Here is a 24,255-nt window from a genome sequence, read left to right as displayed (position 1 = left end):
AGTCCCAGATACTTGGGAGGCTGAGGCACAAGAATTGCTTGAAACCGGGAGGCAGAGGTTGCGGTGAGCTGACATCATACCACTGCATGCTAGCCTGGGCAACAGAGTGAGACTCTGTCTGAAAAAAAAAAAAATAAAATATGCTAAGTGAAGAAGCCAGACACAAAGGGCTTATTGTGTAAGTCCATTTATTTATTTATCTATTTGTTTGTTTGACAGAGTCTTGCTCTGTCGCCCAAGCTGGAGTGCAGTGGCTCGATCTCGGCTCACTGTAACCTCCACGTCCTGGGTTCAAGCGATTATCCTGCCTCGCCTCCCGAGTAGCCGGGACTGCAGGCGCACACCACCATGCCCAGCTAGTGTTTGTATTTTTAGTAGAGACAGGGTTTCACCATGTTGGCCAGGCTGGTCTTGAACTCCTTACCTCAGGTGATCTGCCTGCCTCGACCTCCCAAAGTGCTGGGATTAGAGGCATGAGCCACCGCGCTCGGCCTGTATAACTCCATTTGTATGTAATGTGCAGAGTAAGCAAGTCCATAGCAATACCTTAGTGGGCTGGGTGCAGTGGCTCACGCCTATAATCCCAGCACTTTGGGATGCCGAGGAGGGTAGATCACTTGAGATAAATAGTTCGAGACCAGCCTGGCCAACATGGTAAAACCCTTTTTTACTAAAAATACAAAAATTAGCCTGGCGTTGTGGCGTGTGCTTGTAGTCCTAGCCGCTTGGGAGGCTGAGGCAGGAGAATCGCCTGAACCTTTGAGATGGAGGTTGCAGTGAGCTGAGATCACGCCACTGCACTCCAGCCTGGGCAACAGAACGAGTCTCCATCTAAAAAAAAAAAAAAAAAAAAAGTATATTAGTGGTTGTTGGAGGTCTTGAGCAGGATAAGGAATGACTGGTAATGGGCACACGGCTTTTTTTCTTTTGGTAGTAATGAAGATATTCTAAATTGGATAGTGGTGATGGTTGCACAACTCTGAATAGACTAAAAACCATTGAATTTTATACTTTCAAGAGGTGAATTCTGTGGCATGTGGATTATATGTCAATTTGAAAAAAAAAAAATAAACTGACTTTTCAAGTAGAGGGACATATCCCCTCAAATGGGGTTGGAGGAATATCCTGGTGGTGAGTAGGAACTGTGATGATTTAATATTTATCAGAAACGGGGTAGTGTAAGATTTTGAAAAGGGTAAAAGTACTAGAATAAAATAAGGAAAAGTAAACTTAAAAAATTATATTTTGGGTTATCTTTTTATTCTTTGGGTCTCTTTGACAGCCATTGCATCTTAGAAGAATACTTGGAGATAGATTGTTCCAGGATGTTACACACAGGCTGTTTCTGTTTACAGCTATTTGTGTTCCTCTTTTCTTATTTCTGAAACTTATAGTAATTTATCTATTTGCAGTAACCACATTGCTGCTGTTTCTTGTATGCTTTCCCACCATTTTCCTTTGACCCTCTCTGAATTTTCTTCTTTAAAAAATTTTTTTATTTGAACTACCTGTAGACTTAAGGAAATATTGCATAAATAATAGTTTTCATATGTCTCTCACCCACCTTCCTATTATGTTAATGTCTTACATAACCATTATATAATTATCAAAACAAATAAATTAGTATTGGTTTAATACTATTAAGTAAACATCTTATTAGAAATTTTGTCAGTTTTCTACTGATGTCCTTGTTTTGTTGCAGGATCCTATTTGGGATCCCATATTGCTTTTAATTGTTATTTCTCTTCTGTAACAATTTAGTGTCCTGCAACAATTCCTTAGTCTTTCTTTGTCTTTCACGAGCTTGACATTTCATGAGTATTATTTAATTATTTTATTGAATATCTCTGTCATTTTTTTCAGGATGGGATTGAGTTATGTATTTTGGGCAAGAATACCACAGAAATAATGTGTCCTTGGTATGTTATTACATGAGGTTAATGATGTCCATATATCTTATTACTGACAATGTTGGCCTCAATCACATGGTTAAGGTGGTTTCTGCTGGGTTTCTTCATCCATCAGTAGCTTCTGAGAGAGGACTGATAGAAAATACATTAAATGAAAATATGCTCACACTTAAACAGTTTGAAAATTGAATATCTTCATGAATGGTTTAGGCATAAAATTCTAAATTGGAAATCATTTTTCAGTAAGACTTGTGAAGTCATTGCTTCATTGTCTTCTAGTTTTCAGCGGTGTTACTTAGAAAATCAGTGTGCTTCAAATTTTTGATCCTTTGTATGGAAATCTGTTTTTCTCTCTAGATGCTATATAGCAAGTTCTTCTTGTCCTTTGTGTTCTCACATTTCAAAATGATATGAACTGATGTGGGGAAAGTCATAACCTTCAATATTAAAAAATTATCTTGGCCAGGCACAGTGGCTCACGCCTGTAATCCCAGCACTTTTGGAGGCCGAGGCGGGCGGACCACCTGAGGCCAGGAATTGAAGACCAGCTGGCCAATATGCAAAACCCCTTCTCTACTAAAAAAAAAAAAGATATATATATATATATATATATATATATATATCTGGAAAAAAGATATATATATGTATATATATATATCTGGAAAAAAGATATATATATATATATCTGGAAAAAAGATATATATATATATATCTGGAAAAAAGATATATATATATATATCTGGAAAAACGATATATATATATATATCTGGAAAAAAGATATATATATATCTGGAAGTGTTTTGTTGATTTCTTCTTCATTGTTTTCTGTGTTCTTTCTTTCTCTCTGGAACTCCTTATTATTGGGATACTTGACCTCCTGAGCCAGTCCTCTTAATTTTCTTGTGTTTTCCTTCCTGTTTTCCATCTTTTCCCCCCTCTGCTTTATAAGAAATTTAATTCTATATTCTAGCCCTTCTATTGAGATTTTCTGTTTCTTTTATCATCTTTTTAATTTATAAGAGCTCTTCATTCTGGAAGTGTTCCTTTTTTAGTAGCCTCCCGTTCTGTCTTACACTTTTTGAAGATACTAATTTTTGTTCTTGTTTCTATGTACTTTTTTTTTTAAATTAGACAATTTCTGTTAGTTTTAGTCTCTGTCATAATAAAGGCTTTCCTCAAATTTCTAATAACCTTTGGCTTCGAAGCCAATCATGGGTAAGAGTGTGATGCTATGGCCGGGCGTGGTGGCTCACGCCTGTAATCCCAGCACTTTAGGAGGCTGAGGTGGGCAGATCACCTGAGGTCAGGAGTTCGAGACCAGCCTGCCCAACATGGTGAAACCCCATCTCTACTAAAAATACAAAAATTACCTGGGCATGGTGGCGCATGCCTGTAATCCCAGCTACTTAAGGCTGAGGCAGGAAAATCGCTTGAACCCCAGAGGTGGAGGTTGCCGTGAGCCGAGATTGTGCCACTGTGCTCCAGCCTGGGTGACAAGAGCAAGACTCCGTCTCAAAAAAAAAAAAAGAGAGTGTGATGCTAAAAGACTGATGGATGCTAAAAGTTCTCTACACAGAGAGAGATGAGGTTTGTCAAATTTATTGTAGATTGATGTGACTGGGCTATATTTTAGGGGAAGGTAATATTTCATGTCTGTCACTTAAAGTCTTTTCTACTGGGCTAGTGAGATTCTTCAAAGGAAGGCTCTTCTAAGCTACTGCTAGAAGGTATAAACCTGAGTGACAGTCTTCTGGTGAGGAAAAAGAGTTTAGAAGTCTCAATATTCAGAATGAACACTTTGTCTTGAAATCACCCAATTTTAGTTTGGTATTCCTGCCTTCAACTGTGCCTATTATCTTAACCAGTTTTCAACCAATCTTCCTGTTTTGAGCTCTTCCTTTTTGCCCTCTTGCAGAAGTATATGAGCCTCTAGGAATTCTACAGTACAAATCAAAGTGTTTTTTGGTTTTTCTCATTTTTGACTTAGGGTGTAGCCATTTCAGGTCTTTTAAGTCAGTTACCCTTTGTCTGTTCCTTTCTGTTTCCAAAATTTTGATGCTGTTTTTTCCTTTCCATTCTGGGGAGGGGGGTCTTTTTGACTTATCCCACCAACCCCTGCCCATTGTTTTAGATGGGCTTTTGGAAACAGAATATGTGCATTTAGTTCTTAATCCTTAGTCACCTTTGTTGAATTTCCACAGCTAAAATTTGATTTTAGCTTTGATTTTAGCTTTATTTTAGTTTGAGTAGAGTACTCTGAGAAAGTCATTAAAGATTTGTCCTGTTCTTAACTGTGTTGGAGGACACATGCTTTTGGATGGAAGGGTTATTCTTCTTGTGTACTTGAATTTTTCAATCATTATAGTAATTCAAATAATTATTAATAGAACATTGACTTACAGAAAAATTGAGTATTAGAACTGACAGGCGCTATGGAGTTTATCTTAGTCCAACACTGTTTTTACTGATAAAGAAGCCATGACCCAGAGAAGTTATGAGGCCTAAGATAATGCAGCTCCTATTCCTTATGCTGTTCCCACTACCTGGACCTTTGTCTAGCCAGGTCCTACTAATTCTGTAATTCTTTTTTTTTTTTTTATACTTTAAATTTTAGGGTACATGTGCACAATGTGCACGTTAGTTACATATGTATACATGTGCCATGTTGGTGTGCTGCACCTATCAACTTGTCATTTAACATTAGGTATATCTCCTAATGCTATCCCTCCCCCCTCCCCCCACCCCACAACAGGCCCCGGTGTGTGATGTTCACCTTCCTGTGTCCATGTGTTCTAATTCTGTAATTCTTAAATGCCTGATCCTCAGGGATATCTTCCATGAGCCCATAGGCCATGTTAATTGCCCTGTTTGTGTGCTCAAGCAAGTTCCTGCACCCTTTTACTTTCCCTATGTGACTCCTTTCACATTTATACTTTCTTGCTCAGGGTCTTTCTTTCCCATTAGACTGTAGGCTCATGAAAGCAGAGATTTTGTCTGTCTTATTCATTTCTGCACCCAAATCACTTTGCGCAGAGCCTTACCAGGGTGAATGCTATAGAATCAACACTAAATATTTGTTAGGTGATGATTAGCTATTTAGTGGCAAATCGAAAATATGTATTCATAGTCTTCTTAAAGACATCTGAAGGAGGACTTGCATGCTTTCTTTTTTATCATGCCATCTTTTTTAGACTTACATGATCCTAGTAGTCAGTGAGTTCGCTTTAAGTGTGTTTTTATTAAAAACTAAGAACCAGGCCAATCAGTATACTTTTCTCTTTTGATATTAGGTGGTAATTGAAACTTTATCAGTGGGAGCAACCATGCTGTTACCTCCATTACGAGAACGGATGGAATTACTTCATTCTCTTTTACCTCAAGGACCTGATAGATGGGAAAGCTTATCTAAAGGACAGGTAGGCCTTTGCTTGCTGTGTAAGTAAACCAGTAGTATCCTAAAAATTTGGACTGAGAAGGAAATAAAACTAATAAATTGCCATGTGTTCTTGGAGCATAAGTACTTGATGGGTTAATGTGTTGTGCTGGAAGAATTCCCAGTTGTCTTAACAACCTTAGGTGAAGCAAGTGATAATTTATTAAGTTATTTGGGGCTAATTATTAAAATAAGGACTAATTTTTCCAGTGTTTCTTATGGTACTAAGCCAGACACTCTGTGGTTTATTTGTAGTATGCTGAGTTGAAATCAAGTGTATGTGCTACTGTTGGTTCCATGCTGAGAACTTTGTCTGAAATCGTTTGTATAAAGAGTATAGATGACTATTAGGAAAAAGTATTTGATAATATGAGTATACTTTTCTTTCCATTTTTATCTTATATACCTTAAAATAGTACATTTTGCTCAACCAAGTAGAAGTTATCAGATTCAGAGATACAGATTTGAGGAAAAAAAATTGGTACTTATTTGCAGTGTAATATTTACTGATACTTTTCTTTCTTTTTAAATCTTTTTTTGGAGACAGAGTCTTGCTCTGTCATCCACGCTGGAGTAGGGTGGTGCAATCATAGCTCACTCTAACCTTGAACTCCTAAGCTCAAGGGATCTTACTGCCTTGGCCTCTGGAGTAGCTAAGACTGCTGGCACGTGCCACCACACCCGGCTAATTTTTTTTTCTTATTTTTATAGCGGTGGGGTCTTGCTGTATTTCCCAGGCTGTTCTTGAACTCCTGGCCTCAAATGATCCTCCTGCTCTGGCCTCCCAAAGTGCTGGGATTATAGGCATGAGACCACTATGCCTGGTCCATAGGTGATTTTTTTATTTTTCTTTTTGAGACAGGGTTTTGCTCTGTCATCCAGGCTGGAGTGCAGTGGCACGATCATGGCTTACTGTAGCCTCAACCTCTTGGGCTCAAGTGATTCTCCCACCTCAGCCTTCTGAGTAGCTGAAACTACAGGCATGCACCACCATGCTCAGCTAATTTTTGTATTTTTTGTAGAGGGGGTTTTGCTATGTTGCCCAGGCTGGTCTTGAATTCCTGGACTCAAGCGGATCCACCTGCCTTGGCCTCCCAAAGTGCTGTGATTACAGGTGTGAGCCACTGCGCCCAGCCTACAGATGATTTTTAATGAGTATTTTGCATTAGTTTAGATTTCAAGTGATTTATTTTGAACATTAGAATAAGTAATTGTCATTGGTAATGTCACACTGTAGAATCATGTGTCATATTATTTATCTATTGGCATTTCGTACTCCTCTCTACTTACAGTACTAAAATCATTATGCATAGTATGCCATGTTAGCTTAGAGATTTAGGCATTATAATGAAGGCTGAAATAAAAACCTGTAAGTTGCATTTTCCTAAATCCCATTTCCTAAATGGGATTAATTGGGTAGTTTTTATAATTATGTACTTCCTGAAGATGATTATTTATTAAGCTAGTAAGTGGATTAGTATAGTTTTTTTCTGGGATCCTTTTGTGTTCTTTTCTAGTGCATATTACGCTAGTTACTTGTTCCTATTTTATTGTTCTTTAGAGAATGCAACTGGATATCATCCTGACAAGTTTGCAAGATCATACCCACGTAGCCTCCCTACTTGGCTATAGTTCACCCTCTGATGCTGCTGACCTATCTTCTGTGTGTACTGGCTACGGAAATCTGTCAGATCAACCTTACGGCACTCAGAGCTGCCATCCAGATACCCACCTGGCTGAAATTTTGATGAAGACCCTCTTAAGAAATTTAGGATTTTATACAGTAAGTTGTTCTTTCATTGTAGTAAAAAAAGAATAAAGGGGTAGGGATCTCTTTAGTCAAGGTATTTTGACATTTAAACACCTATGATAGAAATCAAACTCTAGACCCCTCTCCCCCAAGGGGAAAAACATGTCAGGGTTTCTGAAATATTGTGGGGACAAAATAACATGTAATTGAGAATTTCAAAGGGATTTATTTTAGAATTTTACCAGATTTTTCTGATATTGTAGAATAATAAACAGAATAAAATAGGAACATTTTTAGAGAGAAGAATAATGAGCAAGGGATTAACCTTGCCAGTTATAATCTTATAATGAAACAATGTACTTGGAACTGAATGAGAATAGGTTGGTCAGTAGGATAGAGGACAGTGGACCCTATAGCTTTCCCTGTATTAGTATGCCATTAATTCTAAATCTCTAGTGTTTCTTAAATTCATCTTTTTTTCCTGCCATTTCTTTGAGTTCTAAGCCAGATCATTATGATTCAGTGCTAATAATGTTATAGCTATTGTCACTATTGCTGGTTTCTTCTCAGCATCTTACTGCTGGAATAACTTTGTATTAAATAACTTCTTTATATTAAAGAATACAACTTCTTTGTATTAAATTAAAACCCCTTCAGGCCAGGCGCGGTGTCTTATGCCTGTAATCTCAGCACTTTGGGAGGCCGAGTTGGGTGGATCACCTGAGGTCAGGAGTTTGAGACCAGCCTGGCCGATATGGTGAAACCCCGTCTCTACTAAAAATGCAAAAATTAGCCAGGCGTGGCGGCTGGCATCTATAGTCCCAGCTACTCAGGAGGCCGAGGTGGGAGAGTTGCTTGAACCAGGGAGCAGAGGCTGAAGTGAGCTGAGGTCGCACCACTGCACTCCAGCCTGGGTGACAGAGCGAGACCCCATCTCAAAACAACACCACCACCACCACCACCCTTCAGACCCTTTATCATCGGCTCACACACCATTCTTATCTGAAATCATCCTTTTCCAGAATTGTACATTGTACACGTATTTCCTGTTGTTTTTCTCTACCAATCTGTGATGTAAGACTTGACTATTCTAGGAAACCTTGCCCAAATAACCCCATCTAGCCAGAGATGCATATAGCTACACATCTCTGTACTCATCAGCACTTACAGGATCAGAGTGTACTGTGTAACTTAACTTTGAATTGTTTGTGTATCAATTAATATTGTTTCCTGTGGCTCTTCAGGGTCTGGTCTACGTACTCTTTTTCTTCCAATACAAGTCTTAGTGCTCTATCCCGCCCACATTGAAAGGCTGATCACTAAGTCAGAGTGAACATTCTTCCTACAAAATTCTTTTCTTTCAGATTTAAAAATGTAAATTTAATCTGATGTTAAGGAGTAATGGCTGCAAATGGATAAGAACAATATTGTGTATATAGCCATTTGTTAATGACCAAAAATTTTTCCCAAAGTTATAAGGAATGTTACAACAAAGTTGAAAGGAATATTAGGGCTAAGGCAGATTTATATATTATATGGAAATGGAAATAAAATACTAACTGCTTTTGGGTAGAAATAATAAATTATTGTCTCTTTCTGATGTGATTTAAACCAAATTTGTTCTAAGATTTTAAAATAATGGTCCTAATTAACAACTTAGAGCAAGGGCCCTACAGTGTTCTCATATTGTCTTGTATATTGTACACATAAACCAAATTTTCTGCCTAAAGATATTCAGCACATGATTATTTACAGGAAAAAAAGTTGGAAATAACAGAAACATCTAAAAATAGAGGAGTGGTTAAGTAATTTATGGTACATGTGTTCAATGGAATATTTTATCATATTTTATATACACATGGTTTATGAAAATGTGTAAAACATTTATGATTCCATTGGAAAAGAGCAGACCAAAAATAGAATATGCAGTACAATATTATGAAAAATATTTTAAAAGGACAAAGGAAAGAAATACACCAAAAAATATTATAGTAGCAGTCACTTTCTTTGAGTAGTTGTTTAAATGGTGCTTTTAACTTTTTAAAATAGAGTTTTGATATTTTCTAAATATACAAAGCATCTCTTTTTAAAAAATATTTTTAACTTGAAGTAATTTAAAACTCACAGAGGAGTTATAGGAATCATTCAAAGAATTCCCCTGTGCTCTTCAGCCAAATTTGTTCTCTCTCTCTAAATCATTTGAGAGTAAATTGCAGATGGCTGGCTGCCGCTAAGTATTTAAGCATATATTAAGTATGTATTTTTAAAAAACCAGGACATTTTCTTATGTAACAAGAGAATAATTATTGAATTCACAAAATTTAACATTGATACAGAACTGTTATTTAATATATAGTCTACATTTACATTTCTACAGTTGCCCCTATAATGTCCTTTATAGCAGTTTCTGACCCCAGCCCTTCCTCTTCATGATCTTGTCCAGAATCACACATTGTATTTAGTTGTCATATCTCTTTTTTAATTTTAATTTTAATTTTATTAGAGACAGGCTTTCTGTTGCCCAGGCTGGAGTGCAGTGGCACCATCATAGCTCACTACAGCTTCGAACTCCTGGGCTCAAGTGGTCCTCCCACCTCAGCCTCCCAAGTAGCTGGGACTAGAGGTGTGCACCACCATGCTCAGCTAATTAAAAAAAAAAATTTTTTTAGAGGTGAAGTCTTGCTGTGTTGCCCATGCTGGTCTTGAACTCCTGACCTCAGGCAGTCTTTCCACCTCGGCCTCCCAAAGTGTTGGGACTATAGGTGTGAGCTACCGCACCCAGCTGCTTTTTTTTTTTTAATGGAAAAAACAAATAGAAGTAGCTTGATGAATTTTACCATCTAATAGCTAGTATCATAAGGGTTATAGCAAATACTTAAAAATTGGTAATGGGAGAAAGGATATAATGCTTTTTTTTTTTTTTTTTTTTTGAGACATAGTTTCACTCTTGTCGCCCAGGCTGGAGTGCAATGGCGTGATCTTGGCTCACTGCAACCTCTGCCTCCTGGGGTTCAAGCAATTCTCCTGCCTCAGCCTCCCCGGTAGCTGGGATTACAGGCACCCACCACCACGCCTAGCTAATTTTTGTATTTTTTAGTAGAGACCAGGGTTTCACCATGTTGGCCAGGCTGGTCTCAACCTCCTGACTTCAGGTGATGTACCTGCCTCGGACTCCCAAAGTGCTGGGATTACAGGTGTGAGTCACCGCACCCAGCCCATATAATGCTGCTTAAATCAGATTTATGGTAGGTTGTTACTTTCAGTTTCAAGCACTTCAAATATAAACTTCCTTTGTGTGTCATTTTAGGATCAAGCATTTGGAGAGCTAGAAAAGAATAGTGATAAATTTCTACTTGGAACATCATCATCAGAAAACAGTCAGCCTGCTCATCTTCATGAACTGCTATGTTCACTACAGAAACAGCTGCTGGCATTTTGCCATATCAATAACATTAGTGAGGTATGCGATTATTTGTCTTTTATGGTGATCTATCAGGGACCTTGAAACTCAGATATTTGGATAGGCCATGATATTTTTACACCTTGAATCTTTCAAAGTAGTAATTTAGGAACTTTTTTTCTTCTTAGAACTCAAGCAGTGTGGCATTGCTTCATAAACATCTTCAGCTTTTGTTGCCTCATGCCACAGATATTTATTCACGTTCTGCAAATTTGCTCAAAGAAAGTCCTTGGAATGGCAGTGTTGGAGAAAAATTAAGAGGTGAGTTTGGTATTTCATTTCAAATTTAATCAGTCATTAAGAAGTAAGAACACTTGGCTTTCCAAAGTCTTAAGAGAGCCAGAAGCCTCTGGAATAGGAATGGTCTTGAATTTCCTTCTATTGAAGATTCCTTTAGTCTTGGTTTGGGGGTAGTGTTAGCAGTGATTGGTCTTAGAAAGAGTCTACTTGGCATGACAGAGGCCTAATTTAAAGGCACTGGATGATATAAACTCAAAAATATTAATTTTAAATGGCAGAAAGTGAGATTTTTTAATCTGCTCTTTTTTTTTTTTTTTAAAACCTGCTCTTTCTTTACCTTTCTCTTCAGCATTTACCATTTTTTCACTTTCCTTCTTGAAATTCTTTCTTTGGGCTTCTGTGTAGTCACAGTCCTTTTTTCTCTCCTCTTCCTCTGACTCTTCTTTTTCAGTGGGTTCCTATAGGCTCCTCTTCCTTGGACATGCCCTCTAATGTTGAGGATCCTCCGAATTTTGCCTTCTATCCTCTTTGCTCCCCCAATGGTCTTATCTAGTCTCAGTGTCTTTAACAACCATTTACATATTAATGACTCCTATATTTCCATCTAGCTGAGAACACCTTTCCTGAGTCCTAGAGCCTTTCTTTAATTGCCTACTGGGTGTCTTTTCTTGGTTATCCAAAAGACAACCAAAATTTATTGTTTATCTAAAACCAGCTGCCCCTGAAGTTCCCCCACTGAAAAAAGAAAGAAGGGAACACTGTGAAACTGAAACCTTTCCTCATTAGATACCTCCATTTGGCTGTTCCACAGCAACTAAAATATTTTCAAACTGAGCTCATTTCTGAATGACCTTCTCTGCCCTGATATACAATGAAATAGTGAAATAAAATTGATTTAAAACCAATATGGATTATAAAAACACATGATTTAAGGTGATCTTGATTTTTAAAAAAGCAAATTTTGTTTAAAAAATATGAAAGCATTCCCTCACTAGCAGGTAAGCACCAGGGGGACAGGAAGTTTTAACCACTTTCTTCAAGGCTGTATCCCTTTCACCTAGAACTGTGCCTGGTATGTCAATAAATATTTCTTGAGTAAATAAATATTTCTTGAGTAAATTATAAAATGAAGATAAATTAATGAATGAGAAATTCATAATGAATTTTAAGGAAAACAGTTTTAATCCTTTGAATTTGTTGGTACGGAGAATACATATGCTTTCCTATAAAGTGTTTGTTGGTGGTACTTTCTGAAAGTGAATAAACACTGATACTACATCAGCTACCAGGTAGGTGTTCAACAGAGAGTTGTTGAATGAGTCTACTCTAGTTCCAAGCTAAAATAATATTTATTAGGTTCCTTTTTTTAAAGTTCATTTGAAGCAATTGTCCCATGTTTAATTTCTTGCCCTTCATAGATGTGATATACGTCTCAGCTGCTGGCAGTATGCTCTGCCAGATTGTTAACTCCCTGCTGTTACTCCCTGTGTCAGTGGCTCGGCCTTTATTGAGTTACCTCCTCGACTTGTTGCCACCTCTTGATTGCCTTAATAGACTCCTGCCAGCTGCTGATCTTTTAGAAGACCAGGAGTTACAGTGGCCTCTTCATGGTAAGTAAAGACAATAAAAGAGCAAATAATGCCTTTGAGAAAAGTTGTTCCTCTTGCACACATCACTGTGTTTTTCCATTGGAGTCTATCTATCCTAAGGCTATCAAAGGAATTTCATCACTGAAATCTTAAAAGCTTTTCAAATTTAAGTAAGTCCTCTTATTTTATTGGAAAGAATCCTGGGCTGGAGCATAAAAGGAAAAGCATTGGAGTTGGAAAGATGACCTTGAGGGCCTATCTTATTTTAACATTATACAGTTCAGTGATCAAGTGTCACTTAGTCCAAGTGTCAAATTTACAACCATATCAGGATGTTGATTAGGCTTTATATGGAGTTGTTCCAAATTTATTCTTTCCTTTTTTCTTTTTTTGAGATGGAGTCTTGCTCTGTTGCCCAGGCTGGAATGCAGTGGCGCAATCTTGCCTCATTGCAACCTCTGCCTCCCGGGTTCAAGTGATTCTCCTGGCTCAACCTCCTGAGTAGCTGGGATTACAGGCATGCACCACCACGTCCAGCTAATTTTTGTATTTTTAGTAGAGACGGGGTTTCACCATGTTGGCCAGGCTGTTCTTGAACTCCTGACCTTGTGATCCGCCCACCTCAGCCTCCCAAAATGCTGGGATTACAGACGGGAGCCACCGCCCCTGGCCAGTTTATTCTTTTCTAAAGCGTCTCAGAACTTGCTAAGATTCAGTCTATCAGGTGAGTAAGGTGTCATTTTATTTTTTCATCTATGTTTATAACTGATATTTTTCTATAATTTTATTTTTTCATGCTATCCTTTCCTAGTTTTTACTACCAAAATTATACTAATCTCATAACATGAACGCGGAACTTTCTTTTATTCCTGTTCACTGAAATAATTTGTGTAAGATACGAGTTATCTCTTCCTGAGGTTTTAGAAGAATTTATCTGTGAAACTATCTGGCCCTGGTGTTTTGTTTGTAGACAGACTCTGGCAATTCTCATTCTTTAGTGATTAGTATTCCCTTCCATCTTATGTTTCTTCTTAAGTCCATTTTGGAAATATATATATTTCCAGGAATGTTATTTTGTTGGTTTTCAAATTTATTGGCATAAAGTTATTTGTAATATTCATGGTTTTAAAAAATCTCTAGTATATCTATGGTTATATCCTGTTTATTCCTATTTTTTGAATTTGTGCCATCTTTTTTTCTTGAGTAATTTTATTAATCATTTATCCATTTTCCTTTTAGATAACTTATCCATTATCATTTCAAATAACTGCTTTTTGGATTTTTCAGTCTCTATTTTTATTTCATTGGTATGTGTTCCTTATAGCTGTCATTTCGTGAAGTCAAGAACTTTTAAAAACAAATGTACAATAAAAAAGCATGGATCTGGGCCCGGCATGATGGCTCATGCCTATAATCCCAGCACTTTGGGAGGCTGAGGCCGCCGGATCACCTGAGGTCAGGAGTTCAAGACCAGCCTGGCCAACATGGTGAAACCCCATCTCTACTAAAAATACAAAAATTAGCCAGGCACCGTGGTGCACACCTATACTCCCAGCTACTTGGGAGGCTGAGACAGGAGAATTGTTTGAACCTGGGAGGCAGAGGTTTCAGTGACCCAAGATCATGCCACTGCACTCCAGCCTGAGTGACAGAACGAGACTCTGTCTGCTCCCCTCCACCCCCGCCCCCCAGAAAAAAAGAAAGCATGGGTCTGGATCTTAGTATTAAGACAATTCTGAATTCAGGCCTTAAAAAGCATTAAACAATCTTGAATGTCATTTTAATGGATAAATTTGTGTGTTGATTTTGGAGGAATAAACTCAGAATACTCCCTAAAGATAGTGAATTTTGGTCTGGGTAATGAAAAGTAGGAATATAATTGATTGGAATAATGTTGTCATATGTTGTTTTAATGTTTATCTTAAAATTAGTAACTTTTCCAAGGAAAATTTTATTTGATAGCATAACTTCTCTGGATATTATTTTAAATCAGTCTGGTAAAGAGAAAAAATACAGAAAGTATTATAATTTGTGTTTTCATCATAAAATATTTTGCATCAGTATCTTATTGCAGTACGGTAGGAGACTATGAGAAATATTTTGAATCTTAAAAGTACCAGATAAAGACACAATAACTAATGATTTTGTCTTTAGGAGGGCCAGAACTAATTGATCCTGCTGGTCTGCCATTACCTCAGCCAGCTCAGTCCTGGGTATGGCTTGTGGATCTAGAAAGAACAATTGCTCTCCTTATTGGGCGGTGTCTTGGTGGCATGCTTCAGGGCTCCCCTGTGTCTCCAGAGGAACAGGACACTGCATATTGGATGAAAACGCCACTGTTCAGTGACGGTGTAGAAATGGACACTCCTCAATTGGGTAATGTGCTTCTCTGCAGCATTTAAAATACATGCCTGTTTGTACCTCAGTTGGAGATTTCTCTATTCTGATTTGCTAAATAGAGAACTGACAGGCACCAATTGCAACATTAGCAGTGTAGGGAATCTGGGGCTATGACTTGGAGCCCTAAGAAAAATGGTTAAATCGTGCAGCACAATATGGTGAAAAGAGCCCCCAGAGGAAATAGAAATTGTAGGTCTGGTCCTACTCTGTCATATTTATCACTCATTTTGAGCAAGTCATCTAACTCAATGCTTCATCACTTATTTTCCGAGGCTTGGAGGTTATGAAACTGCTTCCCAGAATGTAAAGCACTGTAAGAGTACTTAACCATGACTTATCAGTGCAGCACCCCTGAGATGTGAGTGGCAGCCTCTTTTCCTCCCAGCCTGTCTTGCTTTCATGCTGACATTATATTATGTCCTAATTTTTTCTTCGCCACTTAAAGTGCCTTTAGAATTTCCCTTCTGCAGCATCTCCCATTTGTATATATTGCTGGCAGGCTAGTTCCTAGACTGAACATGAAGACTTATCTGGTACCCCAGATAATCCAGTTGTTTTATCTAGAATTGGTCCTTTAATCTCTCTAGGCTTCTAATTTTGATTCTATAAAATAATGATTTGGATTAGACAGGCTACATGATATTATTAGATCTAAAATTTATTATTTCTCTGATAAGACAAAGAGACTCAACATGTCCCTGAAGGAAAGTCTAAGAGAGACTGAGAGGAAAGAAGGAGAGCGGAAAAGAAAAGAAAAAACAAAACAAAATGAGAAAGATTATACTTTGGGATTTGGAGGGTTGGAGAGTGGGAGTGAGGGAAGCAGTTGAGGATTTTCCTCCATTTCCAAATATGAGTGTACATTCATCATTTCATTTATGAACCAGAAAGTGATTTTGGCCATGGCTGGTGAATGTTGGACTGGTGTTTATGAAACATTTTGTTAAAGAAAGTAAAATCATGGTTTTTCAAGGGGTCTTTAACATGATAAAGATAATTCCACTGCTGTCAGTGTTTAACCTTGTGACAGTCCTAAAGGACCTCCTGAGAACAAAAGTATCTCTATCTCTACCCTCTTCATATTTCTGTTATATTTATTCAATTAAACTGGCCTTTAATATGAAGAAAATCAATTTCTGTTTAATGTTATTTTTCACTTTTTAAGTTATAAAATCATGAAACTATTAAAATTTTATTTTGTTTACTTGTATGTATTAGAAAAAGGTATTAGCCTTTGTAAAATTATAAAAATACAATAATTCAGTTATACTATGGGTTGAATTGATTTTTGATACTAGCCCAAGAACCTCATCATCACTTAGAACATGGTTTTGTTTGATTTTTAAATGTGAAATGAATTCTGAATGTCAAATGTCACACTGAAAAGTTAGGAACCACCTGTACAAATATAAATATCAATTGAGAAATTGTTCATGGTATCTTTTACATGGATCATTTTTAACTGATTATTTTTACTTAAGTCTATTAAAAAAAGGTCTAGTCGCATTTTCAATGGTTCCTTGTTTCTCAAAGAGGATATCATTCCATTTTGAACGCGTTGGTTTTTTGTTATACAAGACCATTGCACGTGTAGGACATTTAGTTTCTCTGGCCTCTGCCTGCCAAAACGCCAGAGTTGTAGGGTATAGCTCAGAGGTAAAGCATTTGACTGCAAAATACCAGAGGTTTTTTTGGAGTGTCACAATTGGTAGAGTGTCACATCCTTTTGGAGAATGTAAAAGGGTTGATACTACCTCCAACTGAAAAACATTAAAGGACTTTACCTTGGTAGCATCTACTTAAAATGGTTTGAAGTTTATCATTTCATAATCATTAAATAAATGTGGTAAGATTTTATCTGTAGCACCAAAATTTATGATGTTAAAATTGGTAACGTGAGTATTTTTTTTAGATAAATGTATGAGTTGCCTGTTAGAAGTAGCACTTTCTGGAAATGAAGAACAGAAGCCTTTTGATTATAAATTGCGGCCTGAAATTGCTGTCTATGTAGACTTGGCATTGGGTTGTTCTAAAGAGCCTGCCCGAAGCCTTTGGATCAGCATGCAGGACTATGCTGTTAGTAAAGGTAAGATAAAGAAGATAAAGGGAGTAAATTTGTAGTTAGCTCATAATGCTCGCAAATATATATGCAATATATGTAAGTGAAAATTATAGGGATCACCCTTTTTTTTAATAGAAAAAGATATTTTATTAACATTTTTAAACAATTTGTTTTTCCCTTTGTGGAAAATAGTGTAACTATTTTTTATATACATGTATTCCACTTAAACCTACTGTGTGAAAATTGAGATTTATATAATACATTTATAGGTAATCATTTTACTGAAGTATAGTAGTCTCCCCATATCCGCGGGTGATGTGTTCCAAGACTCCCAGTAGATTGCTTGAAACCACAGGTAGTACCGTACCTTATATACATTACGTTTTTTCCTGTGTGTACATACTTGCCCATGGTAAAGTTTAATTTATAAATTAGGCATAGTAAGACATTAACAACAACAGTAATAAAATAGAACAATTACAATAATATGCTAACTGAATCACTACTCTTGCATTTTGGGGCCAGTATTAAGTAAAATAAGGGTTACTTGAACACAATCACTGTGATACCGCAGCAGTAGATCATAAAACCAAGAGGGTTACTAAGTGACTTCGTGAGATTTCATCATACTACTCAGAAGGGCATGCAATTTAAAAGTTATGAATTGTTTATTTCTGGAATTTTCCATTTAATATTTTTGGACCACAGTTGATCGCAAGTAACTGAAACCATGAAAAGCAAGATCATGGATAAGGGAGACTGTTATATTCCGTGCTATGTAAATGGATCTATTTTAAGAGTCTGTTTAACGATTATCTTCCCTTTGCAAGCCATGGTTTAATGACTGAAAGGATGTGTACTTAGAAGTCTAAGCTATAGGTGTGGTCAGTATTCATCTATAAAACATTTTGCCTACTCTAGAGTGCTGGTGAAGATTCCAGTTTGAGATAAGATATACTATTAAGTACCATGGTAAAGTACTATGCAAGTTTGTGGTGGTATTTCAGTTTCTAATATTATTTGAGAAAATTAATTTTATAGGCTGGGCACAGTGGCTCACGCCTGTAATCTCAGCACTTTGGGAGGCTGAGGTGGGAGGTATCACTTGAGGTCAGGAGTTTGAGACCAGCCTGGCCAACATGGCAAAACCCTGTCTCTACTAAAAATACAAAAAAATATTAGCTGGTCATGGAGGCGTGTGCCTGTAATCCCAGCTACTCGGGAGGCTAAAGGACAACAATCACTTGAACCCAGGAGGTGGAGGTTGCAGTGAGTCAAGATTGCACCACTGCATTCCAGCCTGAGTGACAGAGTGAGACTCTGCCTCAAAAAACAAGCAACAACAACAAAGAAAATTAATTTTATGTACATATTTTCAAAGGCTGTACCTGATTTCTTTTTAGCTCCTTTGTTTTTTTAACGATGATCGGGATTGTTCAGAATCACCTATCTCTAGTTTTCTTTCTCTGTGTCATTCTCTTATCCTGTCATTAGTTTTGTCCATTTTTTTTGGATTTTCTTTCTTGTGTGATCAAAATGGCAAAAATAAATACATTTTTACTTTTTATTGGCCTTTATTTTTTATAAAGAAAATGAAATGAGATACATATTATTCAGATCTGCCAATAAGATGACACCTTTGAATGTTTAATCTCATCTTTTTTTTGTTTTTTGTTTTTTGAGACAGAGTCTCCTCTTATCGTCCAGGCTGGAGTGCAGTGGCGTGATCCCAGCTCACTGCAACCTCCGCCTTCCGAGTTCAAACGATTCTCCTGCCTCAGCCTCCTGAGTAGCTGGGATTACAGGCCTGCACCACCACACCCAGCTAATTTTTGTATTTTTAGTAGAGATGGGGTTTATGCCATGTTGGCCATGGCTGGTCTCGAACTCGTGACCTCAGGTGATCCATCCGCCTCGGCTTCCCAAAGTGCTGGGATTACAGGTGTGAGCCACGGCGCCTGGCCCCATTTTGTTTGTTAATCATTTATTCATTCATTCTGTTGTGGTGACTCCTACCAGAGGTGAAATAGTAATGAGGAGGAAAAAAGTTTACTTTCTAAGATGTATTTTCTGATATTTCATATTTGTAACATTTGCTTGGGATGTGCAGTTAGGTTTTCTATACCACATTATCACTTATTACCTTGCAGTGAGAACTAAAAAAAAAACTAGATATAAGGTGAATAAAAACTTGTTGTATGGGTCTGTTTGTTGTATTGCTTATACACTGTAAGCATAGACTTTATTCCTGAATAGTGGAAACATTCTTTGTTGTTTGGTATGAAATGAACATAATTTTAATGAAGGTGTTTTAAAGGAACCCATTATTTTAAAAATGGCATAGGAGAGTAATACCTGCTAAATTTAAAACACAACAAAGAGTGTTACTTTAGTTTGCTTTTAAAATTGAATATTAGGTTCCTTGAAATGGAGTCTTGTTGGATTTTTTAGTCATAGCAGTTCTCAGAATAGCAAGCAATTCCATGGAATGGATGATTTCCTAAGAGCCTGATGAGGATTGTCATTCTAAGATTCTCTGTGGGCTTTAAGAATTTCTTAAAATCTGGCATATTTGTCCTTGTCAATTTTTTTTACTGATAAAGCAGGATAAGTCTGAACTTAAATTTCTGACTTAGGCATACTGAAATGAAAACCAGCATATAACATTTTTATCTCTGGAGATGAGAGTTTTAAGAAGGAATTAAGAACCAAAATTAATTTGAGGCTAAAAATTTTTCAAGCGTGTTTTTTGTTGGTTTTGTTTTGTTTATAAGTAGCCCAGATATTTAGCAAATCTGTCAAATGAACGGAGACTAGCAGTCCCTCTGGGAGCAGGGTGGACAATAACTCTCCCACCCCCATTTGAAATCTACTGAATATACTACATTGTTAAAGTACAATACTGGTGTGCCAACATAGAATTAAAGAATGGGAAGAGGCCGAGTGTGGTAGCTCATGCCTGTAACTCTAGCTACTTAGGAGGCTGAGGCAGGAGGATCGCTTGAGCCCAGGGGTTTGAGACTGCAGTGAGCTATGTAGCCACCACTGCACTCCAGCCTGGACAGCAGGAGTGAGACCCTGTCTCTTAAAAAAAAAAAAAAAGGGAAGAAAAAGCACCTGACTAGTCCTCATCATCTAATGTTGTGATTTCGGTTTTCAACTACATGTCTTCATTTCTGTTTTAAGAAATGTTGTTTCATTTCTTACCCACTTAAATGTACTTGTATTCACAGTATATACTTTTATGGCATCAAATACCAGATACATGTATATTTGACTAGTTTACTCACTATCTCCTCTAGAATGTCTAATGGAGAGTATTCAAAACTAGACTCCTGATTCCAGCTCCCTACCCTCGAAACTGTTCATGTGGTCTTCCTTTCTCAGTAAATGCCAACTACATTTTAAATACATTTAGAATCACCTTTGACTTCTCTCATATTCTCACATCACAGATCTGATCTATCAACAAATTCTGTCAATTCTGCCTTCAAAATGCATGTGGACTCTCCAGCCACTTGTCATTACCTTCGCTGCTCTTACCTTTTTCTGAGTCATCATCATTTCTCACTTGAATTACTGCAATAATTACTTCTGCTATTGCTGTCCCTATAAGTCAGTTCTCCACTCAGCAGAGTGAGCTTTCAAAAATACATCTCAGATCATGTTGTATCTCTGTTCAAAGCCTTCTAATGCTGCTTCTCATTTTTCCCCGAGTAAAACCTGGAGGACTTGTACTGGCCTGCAAGGCCGTTGGGATCTGGTCCCCAGCCAGCTCTCTGATGTCTTCTACCCATTCTGTGCATGCACGGTTTGCCCCAGCCACACTGGCCTCCTTGAACCCATCCCAGATCCTCTGCACTAGCTTTTTCTGAGGGGACCCATTTTCACAAGCTTTTTCCCCCACTTCATTTAGATCTCTGCTCAAATGTAACCTTATCAGAAACTTTCCCAGACCACCTTATATAAAATAGTAATCCCACATATACAGTACTCCCTGTTCTCCTTACCCTGCTTTATTTTCCCTCATAGCACTTACCTGTCATATTAATGTTTTCTTTTAAATTTTATCTCCCACCCTGCTCCTCCTAACAATAATATAAGCTCTGTTAGATCAGGGATTTAGTTTTGTTCACTGCTATATCCACAGCGCTTGGAACAGTAAGTGGGATCTAATGAGGTGCATTTGTTAAGTAACAGTTTAGAAAGATGATAAAATTCAGGTGTTGGATGACTAAAGCTATAAAAATTACCTCTGAACTGTTTTCTGAGCCCTTTTAAATGTCAATGCATCATTTTTATTTTCAGATTGGGACAGTGCAACTTTAAGTAATGAGTCACTCTTGGACACTGTGTCTAGATTTGTTCTTGCAGCTCTTCTGAAACACACAAATTTACTTAGTCAAGCATGTGGAGAAAGCCGGCAAGTAACTTAAAACTATCCTCAGACAAATATTTGCTCTCATGATGTCAGAAATTAGGTAACTTTTCTATTTTGGTTCTTCATTTAGATATCAACCTGGTAAACACTTATCAGAAGTGTACCGTTGTGTATACAAAGTTCGAAGTCGTTTACTTGCTTGCAAGAACCTTGAACTTATTCAAACAAGGTCATCATCACGGGACAGATGGGTAAAGTTTGAAATCAATTAATTTCTATGTTTTTCTGCAAGCTGTGAGAGCTAGCTCTAAATTGGTTTATGTGAGAAAAAAATGTGCCTTGGTTATTGCATATGTTCAATACATGTTGAGTAGTTCTTTTCCTAGCAGAAAAAAAAAAAGGAAAAGATTTGAGATTTACTTAACCTCACATTTACCAAGTGTGATATTGGTTCTAAGAAACTTTAGTTGGCTGCATAAATATTAATAACAAATTGAATGATTCAAATCATATGAATGATTATTCCTCTCTTTGTGCTGATTGGGCCACATTTGAATTATCCTGTTTAATTTGGGGTGCCATAATTTATGAGGGACATTAAGCAATACCTTGGATTGATAAAGTCCAAAAATTATGTCATAGAAGGACTAGAAAGTATCAAAAATATTCAGCTTAGAGAAGTGAAAACCAAGGAGGGGGTTGTGTGTGTGTGTGTGTGTGTGTGTGTGTGTGTGTGTGTGTCACATAATAGCTGCCTTAAAAATACTTAAAGAGCTTCTCTGTAAGAGAGGAAATAAATGTTTTCCTTGTTCCGGAGGACACAACTAGGACGAAAGGGTAACAATCAAATGGGGAATCATTTTAGCTGAATGTTAGGAAAATAGGCTTTCTGATGATTAGAGTTGTCTACCATTGGAAATGAAGATTGAAACTACTTGTTTTTTATTTTATTTTTGAGACAGTCTCGCTCTGTCGCTCAGGCTGGAGCGCAGTGGCATGATCTTGGCTCACTGCAACCTCCACCACCCAGGTTCAAGTGATTCTCCTGCCTCAGCCTCCCGAGTAGCTGGGATTACAGGCATGCACCACCACGCCCTGCTAATTTTTTGTATTTTTAGTAGACATGGGGTTTCACCGTGTTGACCAGGCTGGTTTTGAACTCCTGGAGTGAGGAGTTTGAACACCTCAAGTGATCCACCCACCTCGGCCTCCCAAAATGCTAGGATTATAGGCGTGAGCCACCTCACCTGGCCGAAACTACTTATTAAGAACAGTCCAGAAGTAATTCTTGCAGCAAAAAGGAGATAATTTCTAAAGTGCTTGGTAATCTTGATAACATGATCGTAAAATTATAAATGCAAGCCTGGATAATAAAACATTATCTTTGTAGTGCTGACTTTGAAACTTAACTAATCAGATGCTTTGCACTCCATTATTTAGTCCTTAGATTTAAAAAACCAAACTCTTTCTCTCCATTTGTAGACTTTTGTCATATACTGACTTAGTATTTGTGGATCTGTTTGTTGGTGACCTTGAAAGTCCATGAAATGTATTAATTTGCCATTTTGTTGAGGCTCATATTTGAAACTCATATATGGGGATAAATGACATGTACTGTGTGAGTCTGACTACTCTGTATCCCCATCTCTGTAAAAGTCTTAAATTATTTAATGGTCATGAGTCACAGGTAACTTTTATGATGGATCTGATGATAACAATTAAAATTTTTCATTTGTGCTTTATACTGAATGGTATTTATGACTGTCTGAGTATCTGTTTTAAGGATTCTTTTCTTTGTCTAGATGACTGCTAGGTAGAAACCACTGTGGGAAATCAAGTTAACATTGTCCTTAGCAGATTTCTAATTTTTGGTTTGTTCAGGGGCAAAGTTAAAGAAAAAAAATTAAAACCAATACTGTTTTAAATTTAGAATTATTAAACATTTATGCAGAGTAATAGTAACATAAACAACTTGAAGAAAATGGAATAGAATAAAAATTCTCTGCCTTAATTACCTTTTATGCTTGGTATCATGTTCATTACAACTTACTAAGTTGCAGCTCTGTAGGAATTTATAGCTGAATAGCAATATAGATATGAATAAATTTACAGCATGATATTTTAATCAAAATAATGAGGAAGGAAGAGCATATATGTGTCTATATATTTTGTGTACATACATTATTTCTATAAGATTTATCTAGTGTATCTTTTGGGTTTTTGTAGTAAAGTTCATGTGTTATTACTGATATCAACAATATTTTCCATGATAAAAAATTAAAGGTTTTTTAAAGTTTTAAAAAGATTTTGGAAAAAATGTATTTAGTGTAGTTTCTGATAATTTCTTTAAGATATCAGAAAACCAGGACTCTGCAGATGTTGATCCTCAGGAGCATTCATTTACTCGAACTATTGATGAAGAAGCTGAAATGGAAGAACAGGCTGAGAGAGACCGGGAAGAGGGGCATCCGGAGCCAGAGGATGAAGAGGAGGAACGGGAACATGAAGTGATGACAGCTGGCAGTGAGTATACCCTTCTTACTTTCTAGATACAAACTGTGGCATGCTTTTTGATAGGGGAACTAACTTGAAAGAGAAAGGCAAAGTTTCTCCATAGTTTTTCTAAAAGGACTTTATATTCTGCTGGTGATCTCAATTTGTATTAGCTGACAGGGGCTCCTACAACTGTGCTAGTACTATTCTGATGCTTTTGGGTTACATATTCAGGGCTGAGAAGCTCTGGAAGCAGGAATGTCAGTACCTGCTTCACTGAGCCTCATCATGAAATGAAACTCATGAGTCATCAGATAGGGCCATTCAAAATATGTCCTCTGGGGCAACAAGTTGTCCACCAGCCTCGAAGACGTCTGAGCGGTGAGGAAGAGAGCCCCTTTCTATGCCTATTAGGAGAGCCATAATGTTTTCCACGTGTGGAACTTCTAAAATTATAAATTTCACCCACTGACTACACTGCTGTTTCGATAGGGAGCAAGAATTTACATGAGACTGCTATTGACTGGGTGCATAAAA

At 37.2% G+C, this 24,255-nt stretch overlaps 1 protein-coding gene across 50 annotated transcripts in view, besides 1 other annotated feature; it reads left to right on the top strand.

Moving 5' to 3' along the window:
• Positions 1 to 24,255, top strand: part of HERC1 (HECT and RLD domain containing E3 ubiquitin protein ligase family member 1) — a 225,331-nt gene that overhangs the window by 93,899 nt on the left and 107,177 nt on the right. For all 50 annotated transcript variants that reach the window (XM_047433260.1, XM_047433247.1, XM_047433234.1 and 47 more), the window contains exons 13-22: positions 5,201 to 5,326; positions 6,905 to 7,126; positions 10,401 to 10,553; positions 10,682 to 10,814; positions 12,212 to 12,403; positions 14,537 to 14,758; positions 16,695 to 16,868; positions 21,153 to 21,267; positions 21,356 to 21,476; positions 23,577 to 23,748. In XM_047433260.1, coding sequence (XP_047289216.1) covers positions 5,201 to 5,326; positions 6,905 to 7,126; positions 10,401 to 10,553; positions 10,682 to 10,814; positions 12,212 to 12,403; positions 14,537 to 14,758; positions 16,695 to 16,868; positions 21,153 to 21,267; positions 21,356 to 21,476; positions 23,577 to 23,748 — 1,630 coding nt within the window. The remainder of the gene's footprint in view (positions 1 to 5,200; positions 5,327 to 6,904; positions 7,127 to 10,400; positions 10,554 to 10,681; positions 10,815 to 12,211; positions 12,404 to 14,536; positions 14,759 to 16,694; positions 16,869 to 21,152; positions 21,268 to 21,355; positions 21,477 to 23,576; positions 23,749 to 24,255) is intronic.
• Positions 17,900 to 18,076: a silencer, noted in NCBI's record as "fragment chr15:64014173-64014349 (GRCh37/hg19 assembly coordinates)". NCBI's record gives its function as "represses an EF-1alpha promoter that drives an FKBP-Casp9 reporter gene in an ReSE screen in K562 erythroleukemia cells {active_cell/tissue: K562}" and the evidence as "EXISTENCE:reporter gene assay evidence [ECO:0000049][PMID:32094911]".

The sequence above is a fragment of the Homo sapiens genome, chromosome 15 (assembly GCF_000001405.40).
Source record: "Homo sapiens chromosome 15, GRCh38.p14 Primary Assembly".
NCBI lineage: Eukaryota > Metazoa > Chordata > Mammalia > Primates > Hominidae > Homo > Homo sapiens.
Note: the sequence above shows the minus strand (reverse complement) of the source record. Positions and strands in the feature narration are given on the sequence as shown.